The 11,541-nt window shown below is 42.5% G+C and overlaps 5 annotated features.

Moving 5' to 3' along the window:
* Positions 2,079–2,579: an enhancer, noted in NCBI's record as "NANOG-H3K4me1 hESC enhancer chr2:60442675-60443175 (GRCh37/hg19 assembly coordinates)". NCBI's record gives its function as "activates a minimal SCP1, AML or CMV promoter by ChIP-STARR-seq in naive H9 embryonic stem cells {active_cell/tissue: H9 hESC(naive)}" and the evidence as "EXISTENCE:reporter gene assay evidence [ECO:0000049][PMID:30033119]".
* Positions 2,580–3,080: an enhancer, noted in NCBI's record as "NANOG-H3K4me1 hESC enhancer chr2:60442174-60442674 (GRCh37/hg19 assembly coordinates)". NCBI's record gives its function as "activates a minimal SCP1, AML or CMV promoter by ChIP-STARR-seq in naive H9 embryonic stem cells {active_cell/tissue: H9 hESC(naive)}" and the evidence as "EXISTENCE:reporter gene assay evidence [ECO:0000049][PMID:30033119]".
* Positions 2,580–3,759: a biological region, named in NCBI's record as "VISTA enhancer hs399".
* Positions 2,739–3,759: an enhancer, noted in NCBI's record as "VISTA enhancer hs399". NCBI's record gives its function as "enhancer in: forebrain[5/7]" and the evidence as "EXISTENCE:transgenic organism evidence [ECO:0001131][PMID:17130149]".
* Positions 11,123–11,331: a silencer, noted in NCBI's record as "fragment chr2:60433923-60434131 (GRCh37/hg19 assembly coordinates)". NCBI's record gives its function as "represses an EF-1alpha promoter that drives an FKBP-Casp9 reporter gene in an ReSE screen in K562 erythroleukemia cells {active_cell/tissue: K562}" and the evidence as "EXISTENCE:reporter gene assay evidence [ECO:0000049][PMID:32094911]".

The raw sequence follows: 11,541 nt of genomic DNA, 5'->3' as shown, positions 1-11,541 counted from the left end.
GAGGCGGAGGTTGTGGTGAGCAGAGATCACACCACTGCACTCCAGCCTGGGCAATAAGAGCGAAACTCCATCTCAAAAAAAAAAAAAAAAAAAAAAAGTTCTATCGGGAGAGACACTTAACCACTTTCTGTGTTGTCCAAAAATACATGGCCACACTTAATTTCAAATCCTTTCATGTTTCCTGGAAGGAAGAAAATCAGAATGAATGAGAATGGTCCTGATCATTACAACATAGATATATGATAATAATGGTGATTTGGTTAGATTGTTTTCTTCCCTGAAGAATTTAAAGTGATTTCAGTGTTTAAAACAAATCTGCATTTAAGAGAACAGGTAGGTTGCTGGTGCCACTGTTTCTAGAGGAAGTAGAACATAGAGTGGAAGTGACTTACTCACAGCCATAATATGTGTTAGCAAAAATCCTGACACCCAGGGCCCCAGATTCCTAATGCATTGCCTTCAGAACCACCTATGAGACTCTCCTTGGTCTTTTCAGGAATAACTGTCATTTCTTTAAGCATCTTGAATCCAGGTCTCCATGTGGTGATGGGTTCAAGTTTATAGTTTAAATAGACTTTGGAATGACTGATCTTTTCTATGAAGCAACTGTGGGAGGCTGGATTGTGTAGGACAAAAGTAAGAAAAAAATATAGATTAAATTTAGGTAGGTCTGTATTTAAATTTCAGTTTTGTCTCGTTCCCTGTGTGACTTCTGGAAAGTTACTTAACGTCTCTGAGATTCAGTTGCTTCCTCTGAAAATACGAGCATAATGTCTCTTACTTTGCAGGTTGTGATGAGTGAAAGAAGAAAGGTTCTGAAATGCACTGCACAGTGATGGGCACCAAGAGCAGTTCTACTGTAGGAGCTGTTCTGATCAGTATCACCCAGTTCTTCAGATGTTTTGATTTTCCACATTTTGAGCACCAGAACAGGTCCAGAAATATTGGGGCACTGTTACCAAGTGAGGCTGACGTTGTTTCAAGATAAACAACGTACTTTTTGTTTGTTGCAGACTACTCAATTTATTTTGCTAAAATATTAAGTTCATTGTATCTGTCGGGGGATTAGGTTATGCTGAAGTAACAAACTACCCCAAACATCTGTGACTTTATTCTCATGCTACACATCCATCCATAATGTGAAAAAAAAAAAAAAAGATATTTCAGGGTCTTTCCTTGCTTCCTCCCATCTTAGAGCTGCTTTTGGCAACCCAGTGCTCACAGTATGCGCAAGTAGGCACCATGAAATTCAGGTAAAACAGCAGCTTCTAGAAACTGCTCCACCCTAATTCCAAGAGACCTTGAGTACCATGCTAGAGAGCCCATCCTTCTGTTACCTGTGGGGAAACTCTTGCTACAGAGAGGAGTTACAGCCCTGAGCTGCCTGCCTTATTAAAAAGCACACTTCTGCTCTAGGCAAAAGACAGTCTGGTCTTGCTTTCCTCACTTAATAGGACGCCAGCCTTCACCGGCTTTATCTGTTGTGGTTTGTGGGGGCAGAATCCCAGGTTTCAACGGTGTTGCTAGGTGTGTGGTAGGTCTGCCTCCACTTGGAGTTTCTCTTTGCTCCACTTTCAAGGTGAACTGCAAATATGAGGCTGTTTGGACCTAAGTCAGGAGGGTTTGGGGAAAAGAAAGCAAAACATCATTTTGATTTATCAGTTGCTTAGTAAGTAGCTACTGACCAGGAATCTGCCACTTGTTTTGACTAATATAAGCCAAAAAATACAATTGAAACTGGTTTATGAGTGTAGATATCATCTCAGTTTTTTTAAGGCCCACGAATAAAATCTAATCTCTTAAAGTGTGTACCTATTTGTAAAGAAACATAAATATTTGATCAAAACTTGAAATGTGCCTAATTTTGCAACTCAAATTCCAAACTAGTTGAAACCTCATTCCTTAGAATTTGTTTTAATAACACCGCTCCTCCTTGCTCCAGCTTGGACTCGCTTCCTTCTTCCTTTCCCTTTTCTGCAATACTGAAATGGGCTTATGTATTTATTAGCAGAGTCCATTTAAACCCAGGAAGGTCGATGCTTTTTTTGGAACAGCTTGAATAAAAAATAAAACATAATCTTTGCTCAGTACCTCTTTCTCCACCCTCTTCTCCCCCCCTTTTTTTTTTTGGTAATATACCGGGGAGAAAAAAAAAAACAACTTTCCAAACACAGAACTTTATGGCCAGAAACAATCTGGCTGCTGGAATAAACAGTCTGCTCCCTCGTTTACCATTCCATCATGCGCTTAAGTCCTGAGAAGCCCGCGGCTGCCCGCAATAGTTCTCGGTTGGCAGCAGGGAAGTCTGCCAACGTCCCATCAGGCTTGTTTCTTAAGCAAAGTTGTATAAGTTAACAGGTTTTATTGTTGGGGGTAATCTGGGGCTGTTCTTGCAGGAGGAAGGGACGAGGCCCCCAGAGTGTTTGCCAGCAACAGCCCTTGGCTTTCCTCATTCCCTCTCCTCATTAATTTGTGTGAGCTCAGCTCGGATAACAAACGGTGGGGCTGGGGGATCCCATTCAGCCAGGCCTGGCCCCTGTACGGCCTGTGAGCTAATTGCTCTAATTGAGTGGGAGGGCCTGCTTTCCTCTCGATCTGTCCCTTCCCGGCCTTGTTTGGAGACGAATGAATGGAGGCCCACTTCAGCTCCTGCTGGTAACCAGTCAGGAGCTTGGGCCACAGGATCCACTCCGGGGATCCACATCCCAGACAACTCTTTCACCTGCGGCTCCGGCCCTCCTTTGTGTGCCGAGGTATTCTGACAGTGTTCATTCAGGGCTTTGCTTGCTTGCTTTCTCTTTCCTTTCAGCTTGAGAAACATTCTGCTATAATTTATATCTGGGAAACGGCATTAGAAATGTGTTAGCGTGCCGCTCCAGATGGACAGATCATTTACAACTAGCACAATATATTATCAATGCACTGCTCTTTAAGACCTGCTATATAATAGACATGTAATGAAGCATATGAAACATGGGTTTCATTTCCAGGCCCCGAAAGGGGAAAATGATTTCGGGGAAGAAAACCCACCCCAGGTGGGGGGTAAAGGGTGGGGGCTTGGGGGACAGGGAATGGGCCTGTCTCTTTAAGACAGACTAGGAGGAAAACCAAAAGTCATCAACTCTGAAAGTAACAAATGAGAGCCCAGAGCTGTGCAGCTAATGTGCAAACTTGTTTCTGTCCTCTATGGCGCCATCATTTATTCAGGAGGTAGAAGCAGAAGACGGGGACTTGCATTCGCTTGATACTCAATTATACATTAGTGTACATCACTTGGCAATCTGTTCATATCAATTTAATTGGATTTTAATATTGCCTCTGATCTTGTTGTCCAATTAACAGTACTGGCTGGCAATAAAGCAGAACCACACACTATGTAACACCTTTGATCCCTGCCATATGGAGCTCTTCCATTGATTACCACATTTTCAAAAAATTTCACTCTCTCAATATGGGCTGTGATAAATGGGAGAAAAAGCACATCCCTGATGTGATAAAAATTTCACTTCAACTCGCAACTTCATTTATTTTGTTGACATTCGGCTCTGATTAAGAACAATAAAAAAATCATGCCCTGAATATCATATGCAAATACAACCCTGGGCATGAATCTAATCATGCCATGGGAGCATTACCATGACTAGCCTGGCATCGGCTCAATTTTTTTTAAAGTGACAGCATACACTTCTGGGCTCACTGTGCAAAGTAGTCGCCACCGCTATGGCATTTAATAAACATCTGATGTTTCAGTTCCCACCAAGGCATGGCGAAAGCGTTTGCATTTCTGCCTGTTATTGTGAGGCCCCTCGGTGCAGGTGACGCCTCGTGTTGACCCTCCCCTGATCCTCATCTCCCTACTCCTAGCTTGGGGACAGCCAGGCAGCTGGGAGCCAGGATAGGGGTGAGATTCCTTTGTGGGCTCTCAGGCTTCCTTCTTTTTGGGGGACACCCTTCAGAATGGATGGGCCATGGCGCTTTGGTCTGGAAGGAGCTGCAATGCCAAGGACGGGACCTGCCTGCTCTAGGAAGCTTCTGAATGAATGTGTGCTCCAGCTTCCTGTTTGCCTCTCGGAGTTACGCAAGCAATTATGGCTTAATGCCCTGGAGACACTCCCAAATGACAGGATTAACCCCCAAGGGAAACTGGCTTCTGTTGTGAAGGATTACATCAATGTTCTAAAAAGCCCTTCCACAGCTCTGTGGAATCAATCGCTGATCCTTTTCATGCCTCGACAAGAAGGTTGCTCATGGCCAGAGCTGGGAAGTACCAGAGAGGCCCCTTTTTGGATCCCACAGGCTCTCCTCTCACACCCTCTCTTGCTCTCTGGGACAGACCCCTCAGGCCAGCTCTGGAGCTCTGCTTCTGGGGTCTATGCAGCTGGTCCTGGGCAGTTGGACTCCTAGCTTTAGTAAGGTGGCCATGCCCAATGGCAATGGGGTCCCCATGGTAACCAGGGTTCACCTGGAATCTGGACAACTTTGGAATGTGGGAGGAGGGCTAAGGCTATTGGTTACACATGTCATAAATTATTTCTTGACCATTAGCGGTGTTTCTGCCTCATAACTGTTCTTCAGGCATATTAAATCAGCAAGAAGGAAGAGCATGCTAGGACATCTGGGGCTGCCAGATAATTCAGTTAATTTCTATTCCCTTGAACCTGGAGGTGTTAATTTAGAAGCACAACAGAAGAGTCTGAAGAATGCTAATACGTCATTTGAATGATTAATGCAATCAGGGGGATTGGGGGGACCTCTGTTTACTCTTCAATTTTGACATGGCACAGCAAGGAGGAGAGTGGCTAATTTTCCAAAGTTAAGGGCAAGTTGGTTTCAATATAGTCACATGGCCCTGGCTGGAGTTTGGAGAGCTAGGGCGACTCAGGAGGGCTATATGGGACAATGGGGGCCAGTTTTGTTCATATAATGGCTACAGCCAGGAAAACAGATGCAATTGTTTGTGATCTGATGAGCCTGGTCCTCTTGGGTGAGGAAGCTCCCAGAAGCTACTGGGAACAGCAAACAGAAGGAGGAAAAAGAAAGAAAGAAAGGAAAAGCGAGAGCTTGAAAAAACATCGCTGAAAATAGGTGATAGCCTTATAACGTACATGTATTTTTATCTGACATTTCCAAATAGAGTGGCTTTCTCTAGAAGAAGGAAAATATTTCCAAATTTATTTAAATGAAACCTTATTAGGGAAAGCTTAGGACTGAGCAACTATTTAAAAATATATTTTGAGGAGACACGCAAAGGAAGACATTTAATTCTTAGCAGACTGTAGGCATTTTAAGGGAGCCTTGTGTCTATTTATTGCGCTGCTTCTGATTAGAGACAGCTTATGACTGTGATAACAGGAAATTTCAAAGGGCACTTTCCCCCCACCAACCAGACACTGTAGTATCTCCTTTTTAAAACAAAGAAGGTATTGTGAGAGTGAAAGGGATTTGGCCCCAAGCACTAAACAAAATCTAGAGAGGAGAAAAAACCCTGTAATTATGTTAATAGTAAATTAATGTTTTTGCAATTTACCCATATCACCTCAGAATAGGTGTTGTTCAAAAGTACCTATTGGAAATATTTGGCAGACATGCTGGAGAAGGAATGAAGTCAAAATGTTTAGTTCCCTATAAAACCTTGTGTTTAATCCACAAATGGAGGCTTCCAGGGCCAGAAATACATGTTTTCCCAAGGTGCCACCCAGACACTGCTTACAGAAGCTGGGACAAGGCAAGGGGTCATGCTTCCTGATCATGGGTGGTTTAGAGTTTCCTTGTCTGTAAAACTGGTCTCCCAGGCCCTTCCCATCTCTGGGTACTATACTCTGATTAGCCCTGTCTTCTGGGGCCTATAACACAATGTTACCTCCTGTGTTCGCTCCCTTTGGGTGTTGTCTTGGGTGACTCAGGGGTCTCATCTCAGATAGGGCCCTGGGTTAAACAGATCTTGATGCTAATTTTCATGGAGAGGTTTTTCAGTATATACAAAGTTTTCTGCCCATACCTGGCATATCGATTAAATAAACATTTACTGGGGAATTGTATATGCTAGGAGCTGCACTGGGCTCTTTCTGCAGCTTAAGGTTTTTCTTGATGAATTCTGAGAACAACCCTGAGGGGTAAGAGTTATTACCCATGTTTTACTGATGAGGATGTTGATGCTAAAGAAGCAAAGTGCCTAAAGCTCCAGATGGAAGAGGACACATTCTCTGACTTTTCTTCACCATATCATAGATATTTTAGCACAATTGTGAAGTGGACAGGTTCCCTTCATACCGCAAGCACCCTCTCTTGTGCCTTTCCCTTCCCTCACTGATGTTTCCTCTTCTTCTCAGGTACCGGTCATTCTTTCTTCATGCTATACACTTTCATCAAAGCTGTTCTTAAGAAAAGATCTTATATCAGTCATATATTCTTTAGTATGAATTTAAACTCAAGCCAGAAACTGTGGTAGGACTTTTAAAATAAAACACATACTTTTCTATATTTAATTCTCAAGGGATCTCAGTTTTTAAAATTTTATGGATAATAATGGAATAAAATAATCAACTTGCCTTTTAAAGTGGCCAAGGCATTGATGAGTAGGAGCAATTAGGGCAGATTTGCCTTAATCTTTGAAATAAAGTAAATGTTGACTTTTTCTGCCATATACCAGCAAGAAGCACTCTAGAAACCAGCATTTCTGATAAGCCTTATTATGAATAATGGAAATTGTTATAAATAAAGCACCAAACTAGGAGTGAGGAAGCCTGGGTTTTATTCCCATGTCACTGAAATATATGTTTTTGGGCATACAGGGCTGGAAAATAAAGGGCTTGGACCATAGTGAGACTCTTTCTACCTCCTTATCCATGTCGGACATCATCTGTTACTCTTGGGCCTAGGCGCTGTTTTGGAATCTGTCTGTGCTGATTTTCTGAGCAGCCATTATTTATTGTTTGCCTTTGGCCCTCAAGATGAAATCTATTGCCACCAAGGGGCTAGATGTCTTCCAACATTTCCTTCAGTTAAAAAGTTCTTAAACCTAGGAATGTGACTAGGTCTAGTGGTTCTCAAACCTGTCTGTGCATAACCACTGGAGGCTTTCTAAATGTACATTTTCACTCAGATTCTCTAGGAGCGAAGCTTGGGAATATGTATTTTTTAAAGCTCCTCCAGTGATTATGATGTAGACAATCTACGGACTAACATTTGGGTAATGTCACTATAGATTATATGATTCAGAGTTTTGTTTATCTTAATAATAGGAATTCACAAGTTGAAAACATTGCCATTTCTAAAGTGGTCACAATAATTGAATTTCCATTGGCTAAACATTTTTGGCAAATTTTTACTTTTCATTTCTGCTATTTCATCATTTAGCTTCTGAAGAGTATTAGGGAGTATCACTCATATCTCGTCTTGTAGAGCCCTGTTCTGACTAGATTCAAATATTGGCACAGGAGCTTATCAGCTAGGTGGCCTTGAACAAGTCATTTAATGTAGGCAAGTGACTTAATCTAATCTTCTGTAAAACCAAGGTCAGAATATCTACCTTGCAGAGTTGTTGAGACTCCAAGGTTCTATTATTTCTACTTGATTTTATGGATAATTGTTCTTGAGCACCTACTATGAATGAGGTGGTGTAAAATATAATGGAGAGTAGGCTTACGAGCTCGGGGCCAGTGGCGCAATGGATAAAATATAATGGAGAGGCAAGATGAATAAATAGAATAGTTTCTGGAAGTCATCTAAACCAGTGATTTACTTTTCTTGCCACAATGGCCGTGTTATGCTTAGGTACATGTGTACACAGAGACAAATGAAACGAAAGTTTCATAAAAGAATATTTATCCTTACTGCATGTAATACATGGTGACATTTTCCATTCCATTCAATTCTGTAATACTATGATGCCATGTTAATTTCATGTGCTGCTAGTGTGTCATTACTTGCACTAGACTACTGACCCCCTCAACGTGACCATCTAACCTATGCATGTATACTTCCAGCAATGGGAAACTCTTTGAAGCCAAGAAAAATATCTCTCAACTCACTCTAACTAATATTAATTAAGCATAGACTATTAACAAAGCAATCAACTATCTTCATACTGCATGTTTTATCAAAAGGCCTGTAAATCGATTATTTAGAATGCTGATTGGGTTTCTCTTGTACACTTTTGCTGGCCCTTGGCTTTCCAGGACCTACTTTGCCATTGCTTTCTGTTCCAGACCATGAAATCTTTGTTCCCATAAAAACATAGCTGACCCAGTGTTGATAAGCTAATTACAGCTAACGGATTCCTGGCTGACAGTGATAGAGGTTGCCTTGCATTTTAAAAATAACCTTTGAAGGCTAAAACAAGGAACTTTTTATTAGCCAAATCCAGTGAACAAAGAATTTTGATCATAGCAGAATTCTGTAATCACTTAAAACTGTTTCTACTCTTGGGAACTAGGACTAAGAGCTTAGTCTGAGTATGTAGTTGTATGCCATGGTCTGATTGGACTCGTGGAATATCCTGTCCTGCTTCCACTGAACATACCAAAGTGTAAGTGCTGTTTTTATGAAGCATCTGTTTTCCATAGAGGGGCAGTTTACAAATGTATTCTAAAGCTTAAGACATGATCAAAAATTAAATCCTTGGATGACGACTGCATTGGGAATAGCTAGCCATATAATTTATGTTTGAGGCAATGGCAATGAACTTACATAGGAAAGCACCAAGCCTGAAACTCAGATTTCTGCCAAAGTTGGGTTTCTCTTTGTATCAATTGAATTGATTGTTAATTGAATTAATTATGTTGCCAATTAAGCACTGATCCAAAAAAAAGTCTGATTTTGAAAGATCAAATACAGGTTTGCTGTTTTCATTTGGAAGAAGTGCTCTTCTTAAGCCATAGGGTAGTTTAAGATGCCCTGTTTCTGGGGGTAGAGTGTAGTGGTCAGCAAGATTGGGTCTTTAAATCTGCAATGCCATTGCATTAATTGAGGCTAAATGGGTAGGGAGAGGGAAGACACACAAACATAAATATACTCATACAATGTGCAAAAAGGAAATGGCAATGAGAGCATGAGAGAGTCTAGTTATAAACAATGCCTCGAGAGATATGGGACCCAGGGATTAACTAGGGTTCATACTAACAAATGGGCACCATATTTGTCTTCAGTACATATTATTATACCACTACATCATGTATTTAGTTAGAAAGCTGGTAATAATAAAAGGGGTTCTGGTTGAAGGATCAACCAGTAGTAGTATGACCTTAGGAAAGTTAAGTAACCTCTTTGAGCTAGTTTCTTCATTTAGAAAATAAAAGGCTTAGATGAGAAGATTTTTCTCCTAGGCCTTTCTGTAGCTTGAAAATACTATTATCCTAGGGATTTATACAAATTACACATCAGTGAAACATTACAATGATGCCTAAGCAATGCCTTCTAAATTCATAGGGTTATCCATTCAACAATTATTGAATATGGGCCTTGAAGTATTTTAGCTCCTCAACAAAGTGATAACGGTTTCTCGGCTGCGCTCAGTACTACTTTTCTTCTACACTTTTTGGAGCTCAATCAAAACCCAGGACCCTGCAGGCTAAGATAGATTCTGTCACAGGAAGGAGGCAGGGTAATTTCAGGATTTCATGCCAAGCCTACTTCAGGCCACAGACATCCCACTTCCTATTTCTCCAGAGAAACAGAAGCCAGACAGGATCTTCCTGCTGGCTTCCATGGGGCAGTGGTTGACTGGTGGGCATGAGGGAAAGAGCAGTGGAGACAGAGGCAGGTTGGCCTTTTCATGGGCCTACCAGCCCTGTACATCAAAAGCAAGCAATGACATCGGAGCACCCCAGTCTTAGCAATATAGGGAAATGAGATTCTTATGTTGTATGCAGCTCACACTTGGGAGTCAGTAGGTTGGAGAAAAAGGGAGAAGAACTCAGGGGAAAAAAAAGCAATTATAAGACATAAAATAATATGGATCTATATTGGAGAAAATGCTGAAAAACAAAGAGAGAAAATGTGGCATAAAATACTTAACCAAAAAAAAAAAAAAAAAAAGAAAGAAGAAAGATCATCTAAGGCCAGCTAAGCTTGCAGCCATTGTCACTGATTGTACCTGGGTATTTTAGGATACTGCTGGCAGCCTATTGCCTTAATATTTATTTTGTCCAATGTTTCATTTTGCCCTCTAACCATTACTACCAAAATGAATAAACTTTTTTTTTTAGAACTAATGAATTATAGGAGCCCTCACCTGTAACATGAGATAAATAAATGTGTAAATAAAAGGGTTATCTTAATTATCACCTTCAAGACAGGCAAACATAAGAATAATTTTGAACTGCTTAAAAATGAAACCTGGGGATTCCCGGGCAAGATGGCCAAATAGGAGTAGCTCTGGTCTGCAGCTCCCAGCAAGATCAATGCAGAAGGCAGGTGATTTCTGCATTTCCAACTGAGGTACCTGGTTCATCCCACTGGGACTGGTTAGACAGCAGGTACAGCCCATGGAGGGAGAGCAGAAGCAGGGTGGGGTGTTGCCTCACCCGGGAAGTGCAAGGGGTTGGGGAACTCCATCCCCTAGCCAAGGGAAGCAGTGAGGGACTGTGCTGTGAGGAACAGAGCTATCCAGCCCAGATACTACACTTTTCCCATGGTCTTTGCAACCCGCAGACCAGGAGATTCCCTTGGGTGCCTGGGTTTCAAGCACAAAACTGGGCGGCTGTTTGGGCAGACACTGAGTTAGCTGCAGGAGTTTTTTTCTTACCCCAGTGGCACCTGGAACACCAGCAAGACAGAACCATTCACTCCCCTGGAAAGGGGACTGAAGCCAGGGAGCCAAGTGGTCTTGCTTAGCGGATCCCACCCCATGGAGTCCAGAAAGCTAAGATTCACTGGCTTGAAATTCTCGCTGCCAGCACAGCAGCCTGAAGTCAACCTGGGATGCTCGAGCTTGTTGGGGGTTTGGGAGTCCACCATTACTGAGGATTGACTAGGTGGTTTTCCCTCTACAGTGTAAACAAAGCTGCCAGGAAGTTTGAACTGTGCAGAATCCACTGCAGTTCAGCAAAGCCACTGTAGCCAGACTGCCTCTCTAGATTCCTCCTTTTTAGGCAAGGCATCACTGAAAGAAAGGTGGCAGCCCCAGTCAGGGGCTTATAGATAAAGCTCCCATCTTCCTGGGACAGAGCACCTGGGGGAAGGGGCAGCTGTGGGTGCAGCTTCAGCAGACTTAAACGTTCCTGCCTGCTGGCTCTGAAGAGATCAGCAGATCTCCCAGCACAGTGCTCAAGCTATACTAAGGGACAGACTGCCTCCTCAAGCGGGTCCCTGATCCCCATGCCTCCTGATGGGGAGACACCACTCAGCAGGGGTAGACAGACACCTCATACAGGACAGCTCCAGCTGGTATCTTGCAGATGCCCCTCTGGGATGAAGCTTCCAGAGGAAGGAGCAGGCAGCAATCTTTGCCATTCTGCAGCCTCTGCTGGTGATACCCAGGCAAAGAGGGTCTGGAGTGGACCTCCAGCAAACTCCAGCAGACCTGCAGAAGAAGGTCCTGAC

The sequence above is a fragment of the Homo sapiens genome, chromosome 2, assembly GCF_000001405.40.
Source record: "Homo sapiens chromosome 2, GRCh38.p14 Primary Assembly".
Classification (NCBI taxonomy): domain Eukaryota; kingdom Metazoa; phylum Chordata; class Mammalia; order Primates; family Hominidae; genus Homo; species Homo sapiens.
The sequence above is the reverse complement of the archived record's forward strand: the minus strand, read 5'-3'. Positions and strand labels throughout refer to the sequence as shown.